The sequence below is a fragment of the Homo sapiens genome, chromosome 20 (genome assembly GCF_000001405.40).
Source record: "Homo sapiens chromosome 20, GRCh38.p14 Primary Assembly".
Classification (NCBI taxonomy): domain Eukaryota; kingdom Metazoa; phylum Chordata; class Mammalia; order Primates; family Hominidae; genus Homo; species Homo sapiens.
Window position 1 is genome coordinate 38551721 of NC_000020.11, and position 27881 is coordinate 38579601.

Below are 27881 nucleotides of genomic sequence, written 5' to 3' on the forward strand. Positions count from 1 at the left end.
GAAGAGGATAGATTTGGGAAGATGGGAAAAATTTATTTGGCTTTGGATTAATTTAGAGAGTTAATTAAGATAACTGTCTCTTAGGTCAAGGGAGAAGAATTTTAAGAAGTCGGGGACAGAAGTATGTCAGGACATGAGAGAACAGAAGAGCAGGAATGGAGGAAGGGCTACACTCTCCAATGCTGGAGAGACCAGGGAGAAGAAGGAATAGAAAAAGTCCCCTGAATTTTGGCATGAAATTTAGGTGACCTTTGAGAACAGGTGTGTACAGTAGGAGGGATAATTCAAAGGGCTGGGGAGTGAATGTATTGAGGGACAGGCAGTGAATAGAAACTACACTGTTAACAGTAAAGGCAAGGGTACAGAATGGGTAATATTATAGCTTAAGGAAATGGCCTCGTTAAGGAAAGAAAAGGCTGATTTTTTTTTTTTTTTCTGAGATGGAGTTTCGCTCTTGTTGCCCAGACTAGAGTACAGTTGTGCATTCTCAGCTCACTGCAATCTCCGCCTCCCGGGTTCAAGTGATTCTCCTACCTCAGCCTCCCAAGTAGCTGTGATTACAGGCGCATGCCACCATGCCTGGCCAATTTTTGTATTTTTAGTAGAGACGGGATTTCACCATGTTGGCCAAGCCGGTCTCGAACTCCTGACCTCAGGTGATCCACCCTCCTTTGCCTCCCCTCAAAGTGCTGAGAATTACAGGTGTAAGCCATCGCACCCGGCCAGAAAAGGCTAGTTTTTAAATATTTTTTTACATTCAAGGATGTGAGGATTATGAACATGCTTATAGATTGAAAGGAAGAAACCAGTAGAGAGGAGTCTGGCTAACACTGTAAGATGGGCAGTGGGACTTACAAGTAATAGAGGCAGTAGGGTCAAGAGTCTAGTCTAGAAAAGAGATGCTTCTAAGACAGAAGGAGAGAGTAGGTGAAGGTTCAGAGACATTTAGAGAGGAAAGGAGGGAAATTGAAGAAGTTTATGAAAATTTTAATCCTGGTTCTTGGCAGTGTAATAGGGGATCCCAGACAGTTCTTAAGAATTGCCAGGCAGTGCAGCTGAGGTTAAGTAGCATTATCTATAGTGAAGTTATTTAACTCACTCTGCTGACTTTCTTCAAAAGTCCTTGGGATCTGGAAGCATAAGTAAAGAATTTGACTGGTGTGGAGATTGACAGGTGTGGAAATTTGGAAGGAGGTTCAACACAGCCATTTAATGTGCTTAAGGAGAGGGTATTTAGCTGTTAGATGTGGGGGCTTCAGTTTAGTTGGGAAGCAGATAAAGCCAGAAGGATGCTAATGGAGTGGGAAAGCAGGGGGAGGGATTGAGTGCCCCACCGCAATAGTAGAGCACGAGCTCAGGAAGTGAAGGGATAGGAGTTGCACAAGGGGGCTTATGATTGGAGAGGGAATTTCAGACTTACAGCCCTGGAAAGCAGGGCACATATCAGGTTCAAGTTTGTTTTCATGGATGGCCAAAATTGTGAAGGTTGAGGAGCTTGTAGAATTCTGAGCCAGGTTGTTAGAAGGATCGTTACTCACCCGGGAATGGAACTTTAAACAAGGATTGATCAGAAGGAAAGGTGGGAGAAGTCTCTAAGAGTACAGTCATGTCATCCATACAGATGAGGAATTAAACACAGGGAGCACGTCAGGGTGAAGATGGACAGTGATCTGCAAGCGAGGGGTGAGAGTGACAACTCTGCCCCCTTTCTTGCCTATTTGAAGGGAACCAGAGACTGAATGTTTTCATTTACAGTGAAAACATGAAGGAGCAATTGTTGAAGGTATAGGGAAGTTTTTTTGGCATTTGTTTTAACCTTGGACCATGTTTGCTTAATGGCATACTCTACATTGAACTGAATCACAATGTTGATCACTGAAAATTATCTTCATTTTCTTTGTTGCTTGTAGCTTTATTTTCATTTTAAAATTAAGATTGACTTAGCTAGGTGCAGTGGGGCTCATGCCTGTAATCCCAGCACTTTGGGAGCCTAAGGCAGGAGGATCACTTGAGCCCAGGAGTTCAAGACCAGCTTGGTCAACATAGAGCCCAGTCTCAAAAAAAAAAAAAAAAAAAAAAAACACTTAAGATTGGCCTTACTAGTTTGATAATAGTTTCAAAAAATGAAATATTTGGTTTATTACAGTTAGAAGAGAGACACGAAAAATTAAGGAGTGGCATGGCCCAGCAGATTGCTTATGAAATACACCTTGAGCAACAGAGTGAGGAGGAATTGCAGAAGAGAAGTTTTCCTGACCCAGTTACGGATTGCAAGCCCCCGCCTCCTGCCCAGGAATTCCAAACAGCCCGCCTTTTTCTCTCACACTTTGGATTTTTGTCCTTAGAAGCACTGAAGGTAATTTTCATGAACTTTTATGAATAAATATATTCACAAGTTAACATTCAGCTGACAATAGCTAAAATATTTTTATCAGGATAGAAGCGAATTAAAAAAAAAAAAAACTGGTTAAAATTTTAGCCTGCATACAAATAAATGAAATTCTGTGCTGCTGTAGGTTATAGTTTGTGCTCCAGGACAGGTCACCCCATGAATGCATTCAGAGTTCTGTCTGAGGGGACTGGTTTGATGATACATCTAACTCTGAATTTTCCTAGATAACACAGTACCCATATTACACAGATAAATGAAATCTATAGATAATTAGAAGAAGAATGTTAAAAATCTTCCCCTAGTAAGCATTATTACTAAAAATATAAGCTACAATTAACTTTGCTCTTTCATGCCACTTTTAGAAAAGAATGAAGTTAATACTGTAGTATTTGTAAGTCAAGCACTTCTTATGTTGTCCAGTTTGTAAGATCAAACTGTCTGGCTTTATGTCCTGGAATCACTGCTTGCCAGCTATGTGGTCTTTGGTGAGTTTCTCATCTTGTCTTAGTTCCTCATCATCTATAAAGTGAGGATGATAAAAGTATCCATCTCATTGATCATGTGAAGATTAAATGTGTTAACTCATAGAAGATACTTGGTATAGTACTTAGCACAAAGTAAGCCAGCCTATAAGATAAATATTGCTATTATTCTTAATTCCATTAGCCTTAAAACAATTTTACAGCCAGGTGCGGTGGCTTATGCCTATAATCCCAACACTTTGGGAGCCCAAGGCAGGAGGATCACATGAGGCCAGGAGTTCGAGACCAGTCTGGGCAACATAGCGAGACCCCCCCATCTCTATGAAAAATTGTTTTTAAAAATTAGCTGGATGTGGTGGCACACCTATAATACTAGCTTCTCAGGAGTCTGAGGCAAGAGGATTGCTTGAGCCTGAGAGTTCGAGGTTACAGTGAGTTATGGTCACTCCACTCCACTCCAGCCTGGTTGACAGAGTGAGACCCTGTCTCTTGGGAAAAAAAAATGTACAAGACAAGTGATGCAATTCCTGTTTTATAGATGTGGACATAGAGGCTTAAATATGTGAAATAACTTGTCTGGAGGTGGACTTGGAATTTACTCTAAGTCCTGTTTGTTTTGAAAAGTACAACTGAAGATTGCCAAGCAAGAAGTTGCTTATTGCATAACTTGTCCCTTGCCCTTACTGCCTAGGAACTACCTGGTTATAGGCCATTTAGCTTTGTAGGAAAGTAATGGGGACATTGCTGTTTGATTTTGTATTTCAGCATGTAGCGGGAAAATTTTTTTTGTATTTTTGTATTTTTTTTGTAGAAAATTGAGTTTGATGCAGCATATGAACATAAAAACTTAAAATGCAGAATAAAAGAGCAGAGAGAGGAAAATTATAAGAAACATAGTGGTAAATATGGAAGGCAAGGAAAAAAGACACAACTTGCAAATCATTAGTGATATTCCTAGTGGAGAAAATTGAACAGAGTAGAAGCAGTAAATAAAAATATACTAGAAGAAAATTAATGCTTCCTATGGACTTCAGGGACACAAGAAAGGCCCTAATAGCCTTGTTTCTGAGATTATAGTTTTCCACTTCTGTTATCTGTTCTAGTTGAAACTTAAGCTTTTAAGAAAATAATTATCATGCTTTCTCATCTGTATGAGAACATAGGAAAAATAAAGTTACCTGGTTTATGAACCTTAGAATATTTCTAATAACTTAAACCTGACAGCTCATACATACAGAACTACAAACCAGTTTTACTTATGAATGTATGTACAAAAGTATTAAAGGGAATGCTAAGCAGACTTAGTTCTGAATTAATAGCATGTTAAGTGAATTGTTTTCCATGATCAAATAAGGTTTATCCCAGGAACTTAGCAATTAATTACCAGGAAATATTAATAAAGCTATTAAGAAAATAATTTGGTCCCATTAGCAGTTCAGTCAGTGAAACAGTAAGTCAGTATTTACTAGAATCATATTCTGATTCTTAAAAAAATAACAAACTAAGCCAGCACTACTAGTGTAGGTTCTTACTTTAAAAGATTCCTCTAATGAAACCCAGGAGCAAACTAGAGGAATCTTTTGTTAAAATCAGAGGTAAAAGTTATCTATCTTGACTACTATTTAACAAAGAGAATTTTTTAGTCAATGACGTTTTTTAAACTTTCTAGTTTTAAATAATTATAGATTAGCAGGAAATTGCAAAATAAAGACATGAGGACCTTCCTGCGATGATAAATTCTTATATAACTACAGTACAGTATAAAAATGAGGAAAGTCAATGAAATGTTAAACTAAGAGGTAAAAATCATTGGAAATGAGAAGACAGTTTGTAGGTAGTATGACTTCTAGTTTGACAACCGTAAGAAAATCAATAAAATATTTAAAATAAATGAGACTTAAGGTTGCCATACAAAAAAGTACAAAAATTAATGATTATGTCTATGATATTCAGTTAAAAATACAATGCAAAAATGCCCCATTTACAGCTGTGATATTGACAAAAGTTACCTTAACAAACTATGTACAAGACCTAGAGGAAGAAACTTTTAACAATTATTAAGAGATATAAAATATGTATGAGTTATGTTCCTGGATTAGAAGATCACACAGAAGAACAAGCTGAGGAAATACCTTACTTTAAAAAAAAAAGAAGAATGGGGACATTCTGATCTACAAGGTGTATTGCAACATGCTTCAGGTCCACAGTTCCTTTTCCATGATTTCAACGTAAAAACTGAAAACTGGAAAATTTTTTATATATTTGTAGTAAATTCATTTAGTGGCAAAATTGGACCTGAATTGACATGAGGCTGTTTGTAGTTTTATGTCACTTAGTGTGAATACACTTATGTTTGACTGCAGAAATATTAATGTCTTTTATTAGAATATTGCCCTAGACCTTGCTAGGAATGTTATGTAATTGACTAGAAGGCTAGACTCACAATCCTTGTCAGTGTGAAAGACAGTCATTCTTGCTTTCTCTGGAGGATGCTTTCCTGAAAGATATACTATGGTTAGCAAAACCTTGTTTGGCAAGATCAAGATCTCAAAGAAGATAGGGGATTAAGAGGAAAACAAAACAAAAATGCATTTTTGAAAAATGTGTAGACTTAATTTTTTTAGAGAAGATTTAGGTTTTCAGAACAATTGAGCAGAAAGGGTAGAAAGCTGTCATACACCTTCCCCACAGCCCAGTTTCCCCTGTTATCAACATCTTGCATTGATGTGGTGCATTTGTTGTGACTGATGAACCTGTATTGGTGCATTACTCACCGAAGTCGGTGATTTACAATAGGGTTCACTCTGTGCTGTACAGGTCTCTGGGGTTTGACAAGTGTATAATGACATGTGTCTACCATCAGTTGTACAAATAGTTTTACTGCCCTAAAAATCCCCTGTACTCCACCTATTCATCCCTCCCTCTTCACTCCTCACTCAACACCTAGTAGCCACTGGTCTTTGTACTGTTTCTCTATAGTTTTACCTTTTTCAGAATGTCATATAGTTGGAATCATACAGTATGTAGTCCTGTCACACTGGCTTTTTTCACTTTTATCAGTATGCATTTAAGGTTTCTTCATTCAGTATGCATTTAATGTGTCTTTTTGGGTTGGTGGTTTATTTCTTTTTATTGCTGAGTAATACTCCATTGTATGGATGCACCACAGTTGATTTATCCCTTCATCTATTGAAAGACATCTTGATTGCTTCCACGTTTTGGTTATTATGAATAAAGCTGCTATAAACATTTGTGTGCAGGCTTTTGTGTGGATGTTTGTGGGAAAATACCAAGGTGTGCAGTTGCTGCATTGCATGGTAAGACTGTGTTTGGCTTTGTAAGAAACTGCCAAACTGTCTTCCAAAGTAGCTGTACCATTTTGCATTTCACCAGTAAGGAATGAGAAAAAAAGTACATTAAAAGTAAGTTCTAGAAAGCACAATATTATAGAGAAAACTGGATCCAAAAATTATATACACAATATAATCTCAGTTGTCTTTAATTTAAAAAGAGGCAAATAAAAGAACTAAAAGGAAGTATGTTAAATAGTTTCTTTAGTTTAGGATTATGGTTGTGTTTATTCCTACCATTCTATATTTTTTAATTTTATTTTTATTAAACCATGAGCAAGTATTGTTTTTATAATTATAACAATGAAAGAAAATAGGTAATAATTGCTCCTTTCTTCTTTTGGTGGCAGGAACCTGCAAATAGTCGTCTACCTCCTCACCTTATTGCACTTGATTCCACGATACCTGGATTTTTTGATGACATTGGGTATCTGGATCTCTTGCCATGTCGTCCTTTTGACACAGTTTTTATTTTCTATATGAAGCCAGGTCAGAAAACGAACCAAGAGGTAAGAGTTACGAATTTTTTTTTTTTGGTATGTTTTTGTGCTATAAATACACGTCTAAAGAAAAAAATTGAGGCAAAATTAATATGGAGAGTTTATTTGGGCCAGAGTTGAGGACTGCAGCCTGGGAAGTGCTGGAAAGTGCTTCCAAGAACAAAGGAGAGGCTCAAGTTTTTAAAGATAAAAAGGATGAGTCAGGAGAGTAGGCAATTACAAAAGTTGTTTTTCAGGACTTCTCATTGGTTTACAGAAATAACATTGATTAATGAGTGGATATAAATTATTGAACTGTAGGATATGAGCTATGGTGTCCAGCACTGTTAGATTAGCTAATGAACTGTTGGTGGTGACACACAGTCTAGAGTCCATATAGCACGCAGCTTCAAAGTGATTACTTAGCTCAAGCGGGAGTGAGATGTGACTGCTATCAAAAAAGTGCCTTTCTAGGCATGATAATTTGAGGGAGACTCACATTCCTTAAAAAGTTTCATTTTCATATACAAAATTTTACATGGTATGCACTTGTCTATGGTAAGAAGTATTTTGTACTTGATGCCTAAAGACTTGCTATGAACCAGTTTGAAAACAGAATTAATGAAAACTATGATGCTTAGAGTCCTGAGTCTTTTGACCCTTAAGGAATGTGATTTAAATAGGAGCTGTAGGATATCTTTCTTCCCCTTAAGGAATTCAGATTCACAAGACAAAAGAAACTGAAATAACGAAGGTTAGTCATAAAAGTTAAAGTAAGGCTCAAGAAGAATAAAACAATAGCAACAAATATTTATGGAACATCTTCCCTGTGGCTCAGCATCCCAGGATATAGAAGTGAGTAACAGTTTCCTTTTTGAGAAGCAGCTCACCTTCCTAGTAATTTCAGAAGCAAATCATTTCAGTTGAGGAATGCATAGTGTGCAGTGGGAGAAATAACACCTGAAATAAAGGAGAAAAACAGAAGGACTGGCCGGGTGTGGTGGCTCACGCCTGTAATCCCAGCACTTTGGGAGGCCGAGGCGGATGGATCACCCAAGGTCAGGAGTTCAAGACAAGCCTGGCCAACATGGTGGAACCCTGTCTCTACTGAAAATACAAAAATTAGCCAGCGTGGTGGCAGGCACCTGTAGTCCCAGCTGCTTGGGAGGCTGAGGCAGGAGAACTGCTTGAACCCGGGAAGCAGAGGTTGCAGTGAGCCAAGATTGCACCATTGCACTCCAGCCTGGGCGAAGAAGTGAGACTCCATCTCAAAAACAAAACAAAACAGAAGGACTAAGTAAAACATACCTGGATACGTGGAACAAAGAGACTAAGAGAAGGACGAAGAAAAATGTAAGATAGGTGAGAATGGAAAACTGAGAGCAAAATGGCAGGAGACTTGAAGTGCTTTTTGGAAAGGAATAATTGAAATATGGAATAGGCAGGAAGTTACTGACTGTAACTAGGAAAGAGCCGAAGGAAGACTTGTAAAATGTCGTATTCAGATGTGTAGGGCACTGTGACTACATGATCCTGGAATTTTACTGTAGTCATTTTAAGACAATCAGCTAATCAAATTAGCATGCCTAAAGAAATTTACCAAAGTTTCCAAATGTTTACACTAGAAGCACTGTTTCAAATGATTTGTGAGCTCCTAGAAAAGAACACTGATTTATGAGAAAGTTTTTTTTTTTTGTTATTGAGTCAATAAAGTTAAGAAGTGTCTGTTGTTAGGTACCAGGGTTATAGTGCCGAACAAAATCTACAAGATTTCTGGCCCCCTAAAACTACTGCATAGAAGGGAAGGCAGATGATTAAATAAGCAAACAACCATTGTAAAGGGTGTTAATAGGGTCATTAAAGCATGTTATAGGAGCCATAGCAGGAAAACCTAATCTGGTTTTAAGAAGGTGGCCTGGAGGAAAAGATATTCTAGCTGGTATTTAAGGTGTGCCTTAACTGTAGGTAAGGAGGTAGAAGCAGATTGTCACTGACAAAATAATAATAACGTGTAAATTCTTCAGGGTAAAGAGAGCATTTCTTCATGAATTTCATTATGGGGTCTAATATGCTTGGAGCTTAAGAGAAGGTGGGCTGGGGGTAGCCAGAGATGAGACCGATGGAGTCAAGTGTTTTAGAAGAAGCTCAGTAAAATTGGATTAATTATGGAGGTGGGGATCTGTTTTGCAGCAAATCAGTGCATTGTTTTGTATAAGAATAATGGAGCCACTTTTCTCCTGCCTGTACAAGAAGACACAAACCCTTGAGGCACCTCCTAACCCAGTTCAGTTTCCTTAGCTTTTTAGAAGCTGAGGGTGACTAGGAATTAATGAAGATTTCCTGAGATCTCCTTTGGAATGTCTAAGACCTGCCTTCCCTAGCCGTAGGGTAGATTAAGATTAATTTCTGTCTGCCAGCAAGTGGCATGAAAGTTGAATTTGATTCACTTACTGCTTCTTGACTAAATTTTCAAAAATTGTTTATTTAAAAGTTTTACTTCTAGATAAAAATTTGAATTGCAAAAACTAGAAATGGTTGTTAAGTCAGTTTCTTGGCGTCCATAAGAATGTGAAGGGATATGGGTAAACTAAATAGGTTCACTTCAAAAGAGACTGGTTTTAGGCCGGGTGTGGTGGCTCATGCCTGTAATCCCAGCACTTGGGAGGCCGAGGCGCGCGGATCACGAGGTCAGGAGATCGAGACCATCCTGGCTAACATGGTAAAACCCGTTTTTACTAAAAATACAAAAAAATTAGCTGGGTGTGGTGGCGGGAGCCTGTAGTCCAGCTGCTCGGGTGGCTGAGGCAGGAGAATGGCGTGAACCCGGGAGGTGGAGCTTGCAGTGAGCAGAGATTGCGCCACTGCACTCCAGCCTGGGCGACAGAGCAAGACTCCGTCTCAAAAGAAAAGAAAAAATAGTCTGGTTTTGTGTTTAAGAGGTAATGACCTTGAGATGATTTGCAGTGGGTCAGATGTAATGAATGTAACTTCCTATATTTTGACTTTCACAGGCCTCTGTATGATCTTGGTATAGATTAGCATTGTATGAATGACATCAGTGATTTGTGGACTGGCTGCATCACAGTCATTTGGAGGAATTTTTAGAAATAGTGATTCCAGGATTCCGCCTTCACTGATTTTAATGTAGAAGGTCTAGAGCAGGCGAAGAGAACCTTATTTTTAGGAGATTTCCCAGATGATTTTGATATACTCTGCTCTCTACCCTCCCCCTTTTATTTTTCATTTGCAAGGGAATTTCTTAGTTTCCTTCCTTTAAAAGTGAGTTTTTCAAGAGCAGCACTATTGCCATCTTGGGCCAGATAAGTTCTTTGTTACGGGGGCTATCCTGTGTATTTTAGAACATTTAGCAGCATCTTTGGCCTCTACCACTAGATATTTGTAGTGTGCCTCACCAGTTATGACAACCAAAAATGTCTCCAAATGTTGGATGTCTGCTGAAGAGCAAAATCACCCCTAGATGAGAAGCACTGTTTTAGAATGAAGGACTCTTTGTGAGGCCAGTAGAAACCCCACGCATTACATTTAGTGCTTAGTGAAGAGGAGAGAACTTTCTGGACACTTCATTTTTCCTGGAATTCTCTTCTTTGGCCTAAGAAAAGGATATTTTCATACTCATTTATTAATTACACCTAATGTTTATTGAATTTTAGTAGATTTTATAGCATTTATCAAGATTTATAGTTAAATAATTGCATACCTATGTAATGTTTCTCATTAACCAGACAGTAAACTCTGTGAAGGCAGGGACATAGTGTCTTTTAGTAAACATGCCTGGTTCAGTAATTGTTTTGCCAGGAAGAGAGCTCAGGGCTTTTCTTGCATTACTTCACAACCATTATTATTATCTCTACTTTATGGATTAAGAAACTGAGGCAGTGGGGTTAAGAAACTTGCCCAAGGCTCAGCCAATCCAAATCTGTCTAACTCTGGAGAATGCATTTTTCTCTATAGTGATATATCCTCAAATTTATTCTGAGCTTGGACATGATTTGTCAGAAGCTTCAAAACTAACCAATTTTTATGAAGATTTATTTTGATATATTATTTTGTTTCCTTCATTATAGCTGATGATTGGTATGTATTTCAGATTTTAAAGAATGTGGAGTCTTCCAGAACTGTTCAGCCACATTTCCTAGAATTTTTGCTTTCCCTTGGCTGGTCAGTAGATGTGGGCAGACACCCTGGTTGGACTGGGCATGTTTCTACCAGTTGGTCTATTAATTGTTGTGATGATGGTGAAGGATCTCAACAAGGTAAAACTCACAGTGTTTCAAATGTCAGTTGTTTCTTGTTTGTTAGTCTTGTTTTTTTTTTTCCCCCTTTACTGTGATTTATAGTCTTGTTAAAAATACAAAACCAGGCTGGGTACAGTGGCGCATGCCTGTCTTCAAGAAGCCAAGGTGGGAGGATCGACTGAGGCTAGGAGTTCAAGACCAGCCTGGAAAACATAGCGAGACACCATCTCTACAAAAAATGAAAACATTTCTAGGCTTGAGGGCCATGTATTTGTAGTCCTACCTGCTCAGGAGGCTGAGGTGGGAGGATCACTTGAGGCCAGGGATTGGAGCTATGATCATGCCACAGCATTCCAGCCTGGGTGACAGAGCAACTCCCTGTCTCTAAAAACTAAACAGAGGTATATAGAGGAAAAGTATCCTTCCCCTAATCCCAGTCCTGACAGGGTAACTTAGTAACAGTTTATATATTCTAGACATTTTCAGTGTATATGAAAGATATGTATACACATAATGATAGAGTTAATACAAAATGACTGGCTTATTACAATGCTGATAAGTTCCTTTTTTATAATATGCATAAGATTCAATTTTCTATACAAATGGTGTAATATAGGTCATCCATACAAACAATACAGCTTCCTAACAAGCATGTTTTGTCTAATAAGTAGTTTTCTATTAACCAGTGTGTTTTACCAACTGTGGCTATCAAAACAGTCACACTTAAAGGTTATATTCTTGGGATATTATACCAAAACCTTTGTAGTAAACAGCTGACCATCTCTGAGGATTCTTGCCCATCCCCGCAGATCCTCTGAGGAACTGTAATCAGGATAACAAGTAGCAGAGCAAGTATAAACTTAAACTTAAGACCTTTGCCCCACCTGGCTAATGCTTTCTGTTCCTGGGCTCCTGAGGTCACTGGAAAGTTAGTGTTACCTCTCTAAAGTGGATAATGCCTATGCCCAGTGCACATTTTTCCTTTTGATAAATATATCAGTTGGATACTTATGGTTGCAAGTATCAGAAAACGTGACCCAAACTGCCTTAGATTTTAAAGATAATTTATTGCCCATGTAACTAAAAATTCCAGAGGTTGGTTAAGTTTTTGGTGTCATTTGATTAGCATTCCTGTTTTATTTCTTTACAATTTTCCTTTAGCTTTGCTCTCCATATTTTGGCTTTGTCCCCAGCCTGGCTTCTCTAATAGTGCAGAAAGGCAATTCCAGGCTTTACATTCACATACCACAGCAGCCTGAAGAGGAGAGATTAGCCAGATCTCAGAACTCCCTACTCCCCGAATCCGGAACTATATGGCGATTAGACTATCCCAAGCCTGTCCTTATGGCAAGAAAGATAGAATGACTCTGGTAGAGAGATACAGGCAAGCTAGAACTAGTATCAGAGGTCAGTCCCACCTGCACATTTTGCCTGCTGCAGAATAGGGGTGGATAGAGTGGCTATTGGGATAGTAACCACAGCATCTACTACATCAAATACAAAGTGCCTGCCCGGAGCCCACACCAGGAGTCAGAAAACTAAAGCCCTGTTTTTGTAAATAAAGTTTTATTGGAACTCGGTCACACTCTAGATTATACATTGTCTATGACAGCTTTCATGCTACAATGACAGAATCGAGTAGTTGTGGCAAAGACCCTGTGGCTTACAAAGCCTAAAATGTTATCTGTCTGGTCCTTTACAGAAAAAGTTTGCTAACCTCTTGTCTAAAGCTTCCTATTTGCCATACCTTCACCAGAATTAGGTATCTTCCAATTTTTTCGGTGAGAAATTTTTAATTTTTAATAATGGTTGAGCATATCTTATCATATTTTTATTTATTCCCTGAGAAGTACTTGTCCATTTCCCCTTTCCAATTTTTGGTCCGATTGTTGGTCTTTTATGTATTGCTAGTAGGACACTGAGTTCATTTTAATTGAGAACTATATAGCTCTCATGAATGTTTCTTTTGTTAATTCAGTCTTCCTGGCTTAGAGCAGATACTATTACTAAAACTGGCTGTACATTTTTATACAGTGTCACTGACCATTGAGGAAGGTGGAACATAGGCCAACTTGAGGAGCCATAGAGAGAGACCAGGGATAGAAATGCCTTAAAAGCAAGAGTCCAGAGATAACGCACATGTGCACTCTCTCTCTTCTCTCTCTTCTTCTCTCTCTCTGTCTCTTCCTCCCTCCTCCTCCTCTTCCTCCTCCTCTTTTCCTCCTCCTCCTCCCTTCTTCTTCTTCTTCTTCTTCCTCTTCCCCCCTCTCTCTCTCTCTCTGTCTCTCTCTCTCTCTCTCTGCCTGCCTGCCTGCCTGCCTGTCTCTCTGGCCCAACTCCCTTCTGAGGGACTGGGATGGTCTTCCTTTTGATTATTTATTTACTGGATCCAAAGGACTGCTCCCTTAATCTGCTTCATACACTTGAATTAAAAGCCCTGCTAATCAGAAGTGGTCTGATATACAGTCGTTTCAGAAATTATGAAATTAAGATTTTATTATTTAAAAATAAAGACATCTAATAAGCATTATATTTTATTCTTTCATACTAATTGGTTCTTGTTGAAAACATATATTCTATTTATCACTTTATTAACCAGTTAACATTTCATGTAGCAAGATGATACTGGTTTTTTCCTACTTTTTGAAGCGGTAATGTAGTGTTTCTTTTTCCCAGAAGAAGTGATTTCCTCTGAAGATATTGGAGCTAGCATTTTCAATGGACAGAAGAAGGTGCTGTATTATGCTGATGCCCTTACAGAAATTGCTTTTGTGGTTCCTTCTCCTGTGGAGTCCTTAAGTAAGATGATTTTTGCATGGTCCTGTTTTAGGATCTATTTTTATATTCCTGGGTTGTGTGATATTACTGCATTGGAAGAGATTTTGAAGTGATCTAAGGCATTCTTTAGCTTCTAAGGCATTATAACAATATGCAGAAGCACAAGATGTCTTCTCTTAACTTTTTTATGGAAAGTAGTTAAAGACAAGCAGACTGACCCTCTAATAATCTTTAAATAGTGAAGGAATCCCATTTCAACTGATATTTTGCTTTCTTTAATCTAATTAATCAATACATAGGCTTATTTTCCAGTTCATTTCTTTCTCTAATTACGAGTGATCCCTCACCTACTTTTCTATTCCCATATGAGAGCCTTTGCATGGAACCACCTAGAATCCTACAACTGGAAGTATCTCATGATAGCATATGGCCATTCTTCTAACACTGAGCAAGAGAAACTTCAGCAGCCTAGAAAAGATGGTGGTCCAAGACTTTTTAAGAATTGGGAGTAATTATTACTTCTTAGTCTGAACTCACAGTTTTATTTTGCCCAGAACCTTTGCTCTTTGCAAATTAAGCCTGTTTGTTCATGCCTGACCGAGTAGGTGGTCTGGCAGTAGGTGGGAAACTTCACCTTCTTCTTTGAGATCATTTGTAGGATGGGATACTATACATCACGATTTCAGTCTTATTTCCAGACTAATGACTTTTGTTGTGCCCTACCTTGGTAGCTGCCTAACCTTTGTACTTGGACCCTTGATTTCTCACTCTAGGCCCCTCCCTGTCTTACTCTCTGGGGCCGGCTGTGTTCCTGGAAGGTTGGACCTTCCATGGTTTAGGTTTGAATTATAACAGCTGTTGGGCTTCCCGTCAAGGTTCTGGTTTACTACTTATAATTCCAGAAGCCAGAACCTGTCCGTCCTCTTTGGGGACATACCTGCCTGGTTTCTCTGGCCCAGCCTGTTAGTACCAGACAAGTCCTCCCAGAGCTAGAGCCTCGTCCTTATTCTATAGCTCCTGCAATTGGGTCTTTGTCTCCTGTTGTGAAACATCTCCTATGCCAACTGTGCCCACTCCAACTCAGCTTCCTCCTATTTCTGATATTTGGGGATTTTTTTGGATGGGGTGGAGGATAACTTTCTGTGTACTTATCTCCAACCAGATTGCTCTTAATCACAGAGACTAGATCTTCTGTAGCTTCTGGATGTCCCAGTGCCTATTTGGCACAATGCTACATGATTGAATATATAATCTAAATAATTCAGAGAGTAATAATGGCATTTATTATATTCTACATCTGAAACGTCAAATATTTTCTAGTCTTATTTTGGTTATCCTTTAGAGCAGGAGCTGGCAAACCACAGTGGCACAAGCCAAATGCCGCCAAGAATGGGTTTTACATTCTTAAAGGGTTATAAATAAAATATAAAGAAGAATATGCGAGAGATCTGTATAGCCAGCAAAGCCTAAAATACTTAGTACTTGATCCTTTACAGAAAAAAGTTTGTCAGCCCTTGCTCTCGAAGCAATGCTTTGTTTAAGTGATTTAGGTTAGACTGGTGAGCATAATTAGTTTTAACAGCCTTGCTCCAAATAAGTGGTATGTATTATAGTTGCTTTTTTTCCTTTACCCCATAGCTGATTCATTGGAAAGTAACATCTCGGACCAAGATAGTGATTCAAATATGGATCTTATGCCAGGAATTCTGAAACAGCCATCCCTGACACTTGAGCTTTTCCCCAATCATACAGACAATCTTAATTCCTCACAGAGGGTAAGTTACTTTGTTGATAGGTCTCCAAAATTTTGTAGTGAAATCAGGGTAATTATAGAATCCTGCCTGAAAAGCTTTTAACCCAGAGAGTATTTATATCAGAGTACTGATTCCTTAGTAACTTAATTTTTTAAAATAAAATTCTCACGATTTTCTCTTTTTCAGCCTGTAACAAATAGTTCATTCTGAGACAGCCTTTGTGGTTTCTCTTGATTTCACCATTCTGGTCCCGTACTTGATTCTCTCATCTGTTCCTTTTTAAGCCTAGGTTTTAATTTTGTCCCTGAAATATCCACTAAAGTTACTGCAGTAACTACATGTTTTTTTATCTTTAATCTTGCAATGTTCATCTTAAACAAGTCTGACCATATAAAAATAGGAACATTAGGGAGAATAACTCAGTATATGGATAAATATTCTGAGTGAGGAACACAGCACCTACTACAAGAGGAGCTTTTTGCTTTATCTTTTTTCTTACCTTATCAGCAAATGTTACTTTATCTGTGATCAGGTCAGAAGTGTAGGAAGATTGACTTAGAACAAAACATAACAAAGACAGAAGTGTCAGCTTGACTAAAGGTGTTCCTCCATTGTACAGGATTTTAGGTTAGCTTCCTTCCACAGTGAAAGTTATTTTTAATGTAAGTGTATGCTTAAAAGAGAATACGGGGAGGTTTTTACCTTTAAAATTGATTTAGGAAAAAAATGCCAGGTGGTGTAATAGTCCCTGGAGTAGATTGATTTGAGAATCAGGAGTTTTTAAAAGGTTTTACAGAATACAGTTTAGAGATGATCAGTCAGTATTGCATAGCAATGCAAGATTTTAGCCAAATCTAATACTTACTTTAAAAGTTTTTTTTATTTGAGATTTGTGGACAGAACTAGTATTCAGTGATTAGCTGCCCTTATACTCATTTTCTGAATGCCAGCATAGTTATTCCTTAGAACCCAGATAAAGCACCATGTTTTTGTTTCTCACTTATACTGTACTTTGCAGACACTAACAGACTAAAAACAAAAAAACAAAAACAAAAAAAAAACAAAGCAAAACCATATGGTTATCTCAATAGATGGAGAAAACGCAGTTGACAAAAATTCAGTACTCATTTATGAGAAAAGTTCTCAGCAAACTATGAATAGAACTTTCTCAACTTGATACAGAGCATCTACTAAAAACCTACAGCTAACATTATACTTATACATTGTACATTATTCTTGAATGCTTTTCCTCTGAGGTGGAGAACAAGGCAAGGATGCCTGTTCTCACCACTTACGTTCAACATGGTAGAGGAGGGGCCTACACAGAGAAATAAGACAAAAGGAAACATAGTACATAAAGATTAGAAACAAAGAAGTAAAACTGTATGTATTTGCAGATGACATGATCATGTAAGTAGAAAACCCTCAGGAATCTTTTTAAAAATCCACTAGAACTATTGAGGTGAGTTTAGCAAGATTGCAGGAAAAACGCCAGGGTGTTGGGCAAAATTTTAAGGTAACCCCCAGCGACGTTTGCCTGTGTACAGTGTCCTCTCCTTGCGTGTGGGTGGAACTTGTGACTATGATAGGATAACTGTGATTATGTTACATTATTTGGCAAAGGGATCCTGTGGGTTTAATTGGGTTACTTTGAGTTAATCAAAAGGGAGATTTTCCAAGTAGACCTGACCTAATCACAGGAGCTCTTTAAATCTAGGGCTAGAGGTCAGAGATGGAAGAAGTTAGAGAGAGAGTCAAAGCTAAATAGGGACCTTGATACTAAGAAAGTAGTCTGTGAATATGGCCAGATGTTTGTCACTAGTTTGGGAGAAATCTCTTGGTCTGGACATTTTCTGTGAATGTCAGAGTAGATATAATTATCCGGGGGGACTTGCCATGGACTCTGGTCATCTGGTAAAGACATGTATATTTCTGTGCTAATAAAGTAGTTTTAATTTTAAAATTCACCTCAAGTATGAGATTCTTCCCTCTGTACACATGAGCTTTGTTTAGGGCTTTAGCACAAACTTAGCTCTGCTGCATGCCTCAAAAGAGGTGCAGCTCAGGGTACCAGTTTGCTAAAGGGGAGCCACATAGTCCTGTTAACCTTGCAGTGAAACTTAAGAGTTGATTAGGGTGGCAGGAAGCCAGAAGCACACTGCATGGTAATGAAGCCCCAAACAACTCGTTTTTCTTTCTACTGATGAGAAAAAGGAATTAAGCATAAATTGCAGTAGGAGACATTTGGTCTGGAATCTAGGAATAACTTGCTGATGGGACATTTTAGAGATTAGGATCCCCAGACAAGTAGTGATGTTGCTGTGATGGGGAAGGATACTGCTTTCTGGCCCTAACAGAGATAGACTCAAATCTTTTAAGCCCTCATTAAGATACTGTGTGTAAATTTTGTTTTTATTAATGCAAATTATAATTATTCAGTATTCCTTCCTTTTTTTTTCTTTGACAATTTTAAGCCTTGTCCTAGGTTAAGACTGATGAACAGGAGCCAAAGAAGAGCTTTGTTGCAAATGTATACACTTTTTCCTAAAGTGATTTTCCATGACCTGATACTTGGTCACTGAGCACCTTGACAAATGAATGACTGGGTAGTTTTATTAAGCCAGTTTTTTGTTGCTGTTGTTTTTCCCGCTCTCTGTCTTCTTCTTCTTCATGTAGCTCAGTCCCAGTTCCAGAATGAGGAAGCTGCCTCAGGGTCGCCCTGTTCCTCCCCTTGGACCTGAGACAAGAGTTTCTGTAGTCTGGGTGGAACGCTATGATGATATAGGTACTGTATGAGGACTTTGTCCATAAATAAAATGGCAATATATGACAGTGACTTGCTAAATGTCTACAGGGAGTGGGCACATAAGCCTGGTGTGGCCAGGAGCTAGTCCTGGAGTTCAGCAAGCCTTGGTTTGTACCCCAGCTCCACTACTCAGTTTCTTTAAGCCTTAGATTACTCCTCTGTTAAATCCTGGTACTTTTTTCATAGTTGTGAAGATTCGATGAGACCAGTAGATACAAAGCTTTTGGCTATTCATGTTGGCATCACAGTCAGTGGTTTGTTGCCAGTTGGTCTCAGTCATCCCAGGACCTTTGGAAAGGGGAAGGGGAAGCACTTCACTTACCCTCTCTCCACCCACATGTCCTACTGTCTCGTTTTAGTATAAAGCTTAATTTGTCCTTAAGAGTTGCACTCTGGGTAAGTTTCTCATGATTTTTACATAAGCAACATTAGAGCATTAGAAATATATACTTGCCTAAAATCCCATCCAGCCCAGAGTTTGTGGGAAAGTGTGATAGTTACTTTTCAACCAAGCCCTCAAAGATCACAGAACATATTTTCTAAAAACTCTTTGCTTTAGATGAAATTAGCTAAAAAATGTCTTGAGAGAGAATTTTTTAATTTGTAGAGAATAATTAAGATGATATTTCAGGACAGCACAGTCCATATATTTGCCACTCACTTATGTAAAGCGATTAGAAAATTAGATTTCCTATTATCTGTTTGGGAAAATGAGGGAGATATTAATTGTAATGCTATTATTTTCTTCCAGAAAACTTTCCCCTCTCAGAGCTGATGACAGAGATCAGTACTGGTGTGGAAACTACTGCAAATAGTAGCACTTCACTGAGGTACACTCTATTTGCTTGAAGTTCATCAGCGTGTCTTTTTTTAACATATTGATTGCAGCTTAATAAATAAGGAATTATGAAACGAAAGAGTTGTAGACAACTAGAAATAAAAACAAAAAAGATCAAAGAAAGAAGTTTGTATACAATGTACAAGGTTATCAAATTATTATAGCATGGATTTTTTTAAAACCACTTTATTGAAGTATAACTGATTGACTTGTTAAAAGCTATACGTATTTAATGTATACAACTTGATGAGCTTGGAGATAAGTATATATGCATGAAACCATCACAGCAATCTATTCCTGAACACTTCTACCATCTCCAGAAGTTTTCTCCTGCCCACTTAATTCATTATTATTATTATTTTGTAATAAGAACCACTTAACATAAGATCTACCCTCTTAGCAAATTTTTAAGTATACAATACTGTATTATTAGCTGTAGCCACTGTACTATACTGTTGATCTTTAGGACTTATCCTGCATAACTGAAACTTTATACCACCTTTTGGCTAATACCTCCACATTTTTCCCTCCCTGCAGTTCCTGACAACTAGAATTCCACTCTCTGCTTCTCTGAGTTTATTTTAGATTTGTCATATAAGTAATATCATGTGGAATTTGTCTTTTTGTGCCTGCCTTAGCGTAATGTACTCTAGATTCACCCATGTTGTTGCAGATGGCAGGATTTCCATTTTAAGACTGAATAATATTTCATTGTATGTGTACACCACATTTTCCTTGTCTATTCGTCCATTGATGGATATTTAGGTTGCCTCCATATCTTAGCTATTGTGAAGAATGCTGCAGTGAAAATGGGAGTGCTGCTATCTCTTTGAGATCCTGGTTTCAGTTCCTCTGGATATACACCCTGAAGTGGGATTGCTGGATCATATGAACATTCTATTTTTAATTTGTTGAGGAACCATACTGTTTTCCACAGTGGCTGTACCAGTTTACATTTCCACCAACAGCATACAAGGGGATTCCCTTTTCTCCACATTCTCGCCAACACTTGTTTTCTTTTGGTTTTTTTGAAAATAACCATCCTACCTGGAATGAGGTGCTATCTCATTATGATTTTGATTTGCATTTCCCTGATGACTGGTGATGTTGGGTGCTTTAGCAGGAGTTTTAATAGTATAATTAATTGCTATTTTACATTTATCTAGAGCAAAAAGAAAAATGGAGAAGTAGAGGCAATTAAATATTAATAAAGACCGTAATAGTAGGGCAGCAATATTAGATTGAAATAATGGAGTTAAATTGGCCAAAACAGTGTGGCCAAATAGCAGTTAAAATATCCTAAATCATATGAGCTAATTAACGGAAATATGTTTCTAAGCAAAATGTAATACTTTATAATTGGGTTAAAATTTGTTTTACCTGCCCATACACAAGAAGGATAAAAAGAGAATAATCTGATTCTAAGAATGGTAACAATGTATTTGTATAGGCTTTGTAGTTTTCAAGGTTTGCTTACTTGTTTTTGGTTTATAACTCTAAGAGTTCAACAGTTATTTTCTGTTTTACTAGTGGGATAAAATAGGCTCAAAGAGGTTATTCCTTAGTATCACACATCCAGTAAATGCAGGAGAAAGCTACCTGAATCTAGGCCTTTGACCCCAAATGCATTGACCCTGCATCTCTCTCATCACAGAGCTACCCTGAAACTTGATATTTTAAGTTCCTTTTAGTTATGTGAGCTGATTCAAATTGCATATAAGATGAATTTATTCTAATATTGTTAGGTGATTGTTGTTGAAGTCAGTAAAGATGATTTATTTTAGCATTATCATTTTAAACTTCTAAAAGAGGGCAAGTCATTCTTAAAACTTCCAGGTTTTATATGCTTTGGTGTTTTAAAACAAATCACAGATATCTTAACGTTCCAAATACATCAGTATGCATCTGAAAAGTAAGAAACTTTTCAGATAGCTAAACAACATCGCAATAATAAAGTTAGTAATACTTTCTTAATATTATCTAATAGCCAACATTCAAATTTCTTCATTTTTACTAAAATATTCTTCACAATTGGTAAAGAATTCACTCCAGGACTATATATCTGGTTTTAATTCCTTCAGTCTCTTTTAATCTGGAACAGTCCTTTTTTCTTTATGACACTAACTTGCTAAAGAAGAGACTATAGAATAGTCATGAGTAGACTTTTCTGGAACTAATTAGAAGAGACTTACTTATCATTTACTGTCTTTGTTGTTTTCATCTTTTTTTTTTTTTAATTTAAAAAAACAAAACAAAACTGGGCACAAGGTATCACCATGTTACCCAGGCTGGTCTCGAACTCCTGGGCTCAAGTGATCCTCCTGCCTCGGCCTCTCAAGTTTTCATCTTTTTAGGTCAAAGGTTGTAATACAATTTGACAGTAAAATGTATATTTTATTGGTAGATTAGCAAAGTTTATAATTTGTCTTGGGGACAGAATTACTCAAGGATTGATTTTTCTTTTTTTTTTTAATGTCTTGAAAGATTGATTCAGTGTTGCTTTGGCCAAAATCACCTTACCTATATAGAAAGAAAATTCATTGGGTTGCAAAAAGACCCCAACATGTAGCATCACAAATAACATGTAATATTAGATGGGTTGGCCTATCCCTGGTGTGTAATGAGTAACTCGCCCCTCCATAGGAGCAGTTGCCAACTTTAGCATCTGCTGCCTTGCCAGAGGCTGTGAGGGCTTTGGCCCTGCCACAGTGCGGCCATTTATCACCATAGCCGAGAAGGACATTTGCAGCTGGCTTAGATTAATGGCTCTCCCAACGTCCTTCCCCACCCTGAAAAAAAATTATATCGGGGATTCCTGTCATGGGCCGAAGCTGTGTTCCTGCTTCTCCTCTGGGATTATCAGCCTTGACTATGCTGAAATTCCTTGTACTCTGGCCGGCCACACTTTTGTTCCCTATAAGAAGAGGAACTAAAGTGAAAGTCCCATAGCTGGTTGCTAAATTCTTAACTCCATGCAGCAGAGTACTCTTGGCCTCTCCTTCCACCCAGTGTCCCTATTGGTTTTCCAAGCATATATATTTTTTCAGCTCCTTTCTGTTAGCTTAGAAAGCTTGACCCAGTAATGGACCTTTAGGACCAGATGTTATAGGGGGTAGCAGCATAGATTCCCAGAAAGCAGATTCTGAGCACACTGACCCCTTGGCTTTTCTCAGACCACTGCCAAGCAACAGGTCCCTTTACTAATCTTAGGCTATATGTGGGGGACTTCAACTCTTGGGTGTCTCGGGGACTTCAACTCTTGGGTGTCTGAGATAACAATTTTCTTTTCTTAAGATCTACAACTCTTGAAAAAGAAGTTCCTGTCATCTTCATCCACCCTTTAAACACTGGATTATTCCGGATAAAAATTCAAGGAGCCACTGGAAAATTTAATATGGTCATCCCTCTTGTGGATGGGATGATTGTCAGCAGGCGAGCTCTTGGTAAGGTCTTCATATGTGGCCGAAGAGTTAAATTTTCTTTTTCTTTATCATTTTTATAAACCAAAAAGAAGTAAAAATAAGGAAATGGTGATAATTAATAGCTTCCACATGTAGGAAATGGTATGGCTCTTGTTAAAAAGGGAGCATGTTTCGTTCTTTTTAAATCTGTCCTTAATCTAGTAAGTGTAAGTAAAACCTCACTAACTTCTAGTATTAAAATATTGAAGATAGCTGTTTGTAATCCAGGACAGAAAATAGGTTTTTAGAATAGATTTTGATTCTCCTTTTCCTTGTCATTGTGTGTTTCTTCTGACAGTTTTATCTTAGCACTATGTCTATCTCTCTGGGGATGGGAAGTTTGCAAATTGAATGAAATAGTTTTGAGTATGCGGAGAATAGTTCACCTGAATACTTACAGTTCACCTACGTAAGTGACTAGTTTCTAACGTTTATTTTAAAACTCTCTATTTTCAAGGCTTTCTGGTGAGGCAGACTGTAATTAACATTTGTAGAAGAAAGAGACTGGAAAGTGACTCCTACAGTCCCCCCCATGTCCGCCGGAAACAGAAAATCACCGACATTGTCAACAAGTACCGGAACAAGCAGCTGGAGCCAGAGTTTTATACTTCACTTTTCCAGGAGGTTGGACTCAAGAACTGCAGTTCTTAGACCACTGAATTTCTAAGACTGTTGAACTCCAGTTTGGGAACTATAACACAGCAGAACAGTTTGATAGGTGATCACTGTAAAAATAAAAACAAATCACTCCCAAGAGCTTACTGTTTAATCACCAGAATAGAAGAAACACATTATAACCCATTTGATAGAAGACTTTGGGCTATCTAGTGAAATGGGCTCCCAGACACAATCACACTCCTGCTGATAATGATGATATACATTTTAGCCATAAACTTTCTTTTAAAAGTGACAATTTTAGTTAAACATAAGCCTTTTGAGGAGAAAGGCTTTTATGCATCTCAGTTAAACACGTGCATTGGTAGTATCAACAAATTTGCAATATAGAAGTTGAAGATAGTTTTTTACCTCACTTTTTAGGAGGTTGTATTCAAAATTAAAATCTCAGAATCTTACAGGACATTTAAAGACTCATGTTGATAGCATGGAGGAGAAGGAAAGAAGTCACAGCCTTCTACTCAGTTGTAGGTCTTCTTGTCATCCAGCTGTCACACTGACAAAAAGAAAAGATGATACATGTTTTTTGCTCAGATAAGAAGCCTGACATTAAAAGATGTCATATTTTTTTCTCCACATTTCAAAAAGTTGTCCTTCTCATCACTGCACAGATCTGTCTGAAAGCCTCAGTTTCTGAGTGACCCAGGAACAGATCAGAAATGGAGCATGGCCTTGTCCTTTAATGGGGATGCAAATAAAGTTTGTGGGGTTAAAAGTTATAAGACAGCAGTGATACCCCACTCTCTCCATTATTGTCCAGCGGGGTGACATAATGACAGGTTAAATATTTGTGATTCATTGATTAAATATTATTTAAAGAAATGTAAATTCACAATAAGGGTTGAAAATTATTTGGTTTCATCCATTGTCTCTTATTTCAGGACCAAGCAGCAAACTGCAGTAGTTTGTGAAGGATTCTAATATGGGGTTCAGGAATAGCCTCTCAACGCTACTAATTCAGATCTCTCCCAGAGAACTACTGGATTTCCTCATAATTGACAAACATGAGTGACCACCTCTTTGGGTGGCTACTGTTAGAAATGGCTGTTGTCATGTTTTCTGGACTTTGCCAGCCAACAGATCCCTGCCAGGTTTTGGAAATACTTCTATTACCTCGCTGCTACTTTTCTGCAGGGATAAAACTTTTGAGGTGGCCAGACCCAGAACATCCAAGGATTCCTGTTACAGTGCTACAGTATACACTGCTCATTTATCCTATTCTCATGTGCTTTCTTCTTTAGTAAGATTATTTTAAGAAAATAAGTGATATTTAAAGTCCAAAGAGGAATGATCACAGTTGTATAAGGGGTGTTTTCCCACTTGAACTCTGATGTCAGTCGACTGTGGGTCAGAGCTACAACCATCTGTTTGGTTTGATGTTTTGGTGGTTTACTTACGGAGTGGGGATAGTGTGAGACCTAATTCCCTGTGCAAATGTCTCTTATTCCAGAAATGTGCATTTTGTCATCTATAAGCAAGAAATATGGGCATAGCAGCTCTTGGTTTAAAGTTTGCCATAACCTGTTCATGTTTGTTTTAAGCTCAGGTAAAGATAACCTCCTCTTTCTATGACTCCAGTTTCCATTCAGGTTATAGTATTATTCAATAGTTGATTTTCTTTTTAAGCTGGGCAATAAATTGATGTTTCCAGATGGTAACATGGGAGAGGGCATATAGGATAAAGATGAGCAAATTCTACCCTAAAAATGTTCTAGTAGTTCACAGGAAGAAGATGAGGTTTAATAACTTTCAAGGTAATTCTAGATTGACATTTTGAGGGGAAAATGGGCTCTTGTTCTAGTTGAAGTGAGCAGAGAAGGCTATAAATTAATATGTAACTTACAGCATTCCAGAGGTTAAAAATAACTGATGCAGATGTACTTCTTCAGTGTGATTCTTCAGATCAAACTTTTACTTTTGGCATAGTTAATTTCAGAAAAATGTGCTGTATGTGTGTGTGTATGAGGGTTGGTCTTGCTGATCCTTCAGTTAGCTCTAAATTCTGGCAACTCCTTGTAATTCCAATGTATTTGATACATGAACAATCATGTTGAATGCATTTGTGATCTGGGAGACTTCCTCGTCTTCCAGGGAAGGAAGGATGTGCAGCCCCTGAAGGCATGAAACTCCCAGTGTGTACGGAGCCAGTGGAATATGGGATACCCATACCTTACCAGGCGCTGGTTCCTTCTGCTCACAATAACATCTGCCCAAAGAGGGAGTGGGAAGAACGCTTAGCTCTTTCACTAGTATGGATTTGAGTTCATGGTCACTATTTTTACCCACCTGCCTTTGTTAAAAATCACTTTGAGTAGAATAGCACTGGAGGAACATATTTAGCACCTAATATTAATATTTAGTAGTCCATTGATAAATTTGCCAGCATATGTTCTAGCCTCTGGGGGGAAACCAGGACCACTTTTGTCTGTGGCTTAAACAGTTCAGTTGCTATATCTGTTGGGTATGCCGGGGGTGGATGAGTGTGGCATTCCGTGAAGAGGAAGGTGGTAAGTAAGGTTTCCCTTCTACTGCCTTCTTAAGTTGCAGGAGGGAGCTTTTCTCCTCCCCTCTGGTTGGGAGCACTGAGGACAGTGAGGAGGGCTTTTACCTTGTTAATCCTTTCCTTATTTAGCTAGCTTTCCTTTTTGTCTAGGGCTTCCTCTTGAGACCCTCTTCCATCCATTGGGCCTTTGAAAGGACTAATCAGACACACACACACACACACACACACACACACACACTCGCATACTCATGCACATTTTCCTTCATTTCCAGATCCTTTATTTCAGAGCAGCCCATTTTCCTCTGGATTCATTGATGAATACAAGTACCCACACCTTTGGCCAGTAATGTCAGTTACCTGCTGCAGGTTCTGTGTATGAGGCCTTCATGAACGGTTACCTTCTCCATACACTAGGGAAGCATTTGTCAGACTCTGCAGACTGGGTTCTAGAGAGGCAGAGTCTTTAAGAGTATTCATTTCTTCTGGAAGGTGGAGCTTTACCCAAAGTGGAAGTTAGCCTTGCTCAAAGATGTGTTTTGTGGTAGGTGGTAAAAATAAATAAATAAATAAATAATAAAAAAAGAAACATGTATTGGAGGTAATTTGACACTGCTGCTGGCAGTAGTTCTCTATTCACCATTTTAAAGCCCATTCAGGTTCTCTCTTCCTGAAAAGAACTGATTGCTGTGTTTACATGAAATGACATTGGAGTCAGATGGTCTGTTTTAAAGATTTCCATGACAGCCTCTTTTCCTGAGTTGGAGAGATTGGAGGTGGTCTATCCGTACGATGTGGAATCAAACGGTGGGTTTCTTAGTAGCTAAAGAAGCCATGTACTTCTAGTGTGTTTCTCAGAATATCAACTCATGTTCTTCAGATGCTTTTCTTTTTTTAATGGTGAGGGAAAAGGTATAATTTGGGATTCCACAGTGCCTTGCATATAGTAGGCGCCCAGTAAATACTTGTTGAAGCAAACCAAGTTTCCCAAGTCCTCATCTCTTATAGTGACCAAGACATCTTTCTCCTCTGAAGGGCTTGGCAGTTGTGGCTAAAAAATAAGCAGTATCATTATTTGCTTGAAATCATATATACAGTTTGTATGAATTTCAGTATGTTGCCAAGACATGATTTTTTCTTATTGTATTTTCTGTAAATATTTCTGGCACTGAACTGTAAAGTAAAGGCAAAGTGTAAATATGAAGGCGTGCCCGTGCCCCTTGCCTCCTGTGTTTCATCTTCGTCGGTTAGGGAAGAAGGTCCAGAGGTTTGTTTGTATTTATGCCGATCCTTTGTCCAGAAGAAGCCCATGGAATATTGAATGTAATACATTTAGTCAATTAAATTTTAAGGAGATTCTTATCTAATAACTTTGTGTGTGCTTTTGGATACAGGCTGAGGCTTTACTCCTACACTGGTGCTGTTAATTTTACCCTTTCAGGGGATGTCTGCTCGGCTTTGGCTGCCCTTTATAATTTAGATCTGTAGTTTAAATGAACATTAAATGAGTATTTCATGAAATACTCAAAGTTTGATTAATTTTAAGAAAAGTATTTGGCCTTCTCTGCTGGAAGGAGCTTGTATAATTAAAACACTGCCAATAGAGGCTCACCTTTCAGGGGCTGCGAATTGCTGAGGAGATAGATGCTTATGTTACGGGAGCAAGAAAGTGCCAGCTGTGCCCTCTGCTTGCAGAAAATTTGAGCCCTAGTAGGACTAGACAGTCAGGAAAGGGGGGAGGTGCAGAGATCATCCCCTGCCGCCCACTGCCCCCTTTGTGAAGGGCATCTTGGAGCCAGATGAGTGCCTTCAGGCCTGGATCACACATAGTGGAGTGAATGGACCACTTGAAACAATCATGAGAACCATTGTGGCCATGCCTCTGCCAAGAGCTGCTGACGTGTGCCCTCTGAACTGTGCCTGGGAGCTGCCTACCTTGCACTGTGTGTTCTGCCTGCTCTGCCCACGCACAACAGGACCTCCAGCTGGGCCTAGTGGCCAGAGACGCTGACTGCACAGTAGCCCTGTTTTGGTGTCTGGAAAGGTTTTGTAGCCAGAAAAAAAATGTGTGCTCAAGCCTTTCCCAGCTATGCTGCTCAGCTCTCTCTCT

At 38.4% G+C, this 27881-nt stretch overlaps 1 protein-coding gene across 13 annotated transcripts in view, besides 3 other annotated features; it reads left to right on the forward strand.

The window, feature by feature from the left end:
• Positions 1-27138, forward strand: part of RALGAPB (Ral GTPase activating protein non-catalytic subunit beta) — a 106016-nt gene extending 78878 nt beyond the window's left edge. For 6 of the 13 annotated variants that reach the window (NM_020336.4, NM_001282917.2, XM_047440314.1 and 3 more), the window contains 9 exons: positions 2147-2356; positions 6575-6733; positions 10812-10977; positions 13639-13758; positions 15376-15512; positions 18168-18276; positions 19049-19127; positions 22430-22578; positions 23054-27138. In NM_020336.4, coding sequence (NP_065069.1) covers positions 2147-2356; positions 6575-6733; positions 10812-10977; positions 13639-13758; positions 15376-15512; positions 18168-18276; positions 19049-19127; positions 22430-22578; positions 23054-23247 — 1323 coding nt within the window. In that variant the 3' untranslated portion in view covers positions 23248-27138. Of the gene's footprint in view, positions 1-2146; positions 2357-6574; positions 6734-10811; positions 10978-13635; positions 13759-15375; positions 15513-18167; positions 18277-19048; positions 19128-22429; positions 22579-23053 lie in introns of those variants that run through there. The other 7 variants (NM_001282918.2, XM_005260462.4, XM_047440315.1 and 4 more) reach the window with 2 other exon arrangements.
• Positions 8970-9486: an enhancer, noted in NCBI's record as "H3K4me1 hESC enhancer chr20:37189333-37189849 (GRCh37/hg19 assembly coordinates)". NCBI's record gives its function as "activates a minimal SCP1, AML or CMV promoter by ChIP-STARR-seq in primed H9 embryonic stem cells {active_cell/tissue: H9 hESC(primed)}" and the evidence as "EXISTENCE:reporter gene assay evidence [ECO:0000049][PMID:30033119]".
• Positions 13154-13654: an enhancer, noted in NCBI's record as "H3K27ac hESC enhancer chr20:37193517-37194017 (GRCh37/hg19 assembly coordinates)". NCBI's record gives its function as "activates a minimal SCP1, AML or CMV promoter by ChIP-STARR-seq in naive H9 embryonic stem cells {active_cell/tissue: H9 hESC(naive)}" and the evidence as "EXISTENCE:reporter gene assay evidence [ECO:0000049][PMID:30033119]".
• Positions 26012-26212: a silencer, noted in NCBI's record as "peak4208 fragment used in MPRA reporter construct". NCBI's record gives its function as "represses an SCP1 promoter by STARR-seq MPRAs in K562 erythroleukemia cells {active_cell/tissue: K562}" and the evidence as "EXISTENCE:reporter gene assay evidence [ECO:0000049][PMID:32103011]".
• Positions 27139-27881: the final 743 nt, after the last annotated feature.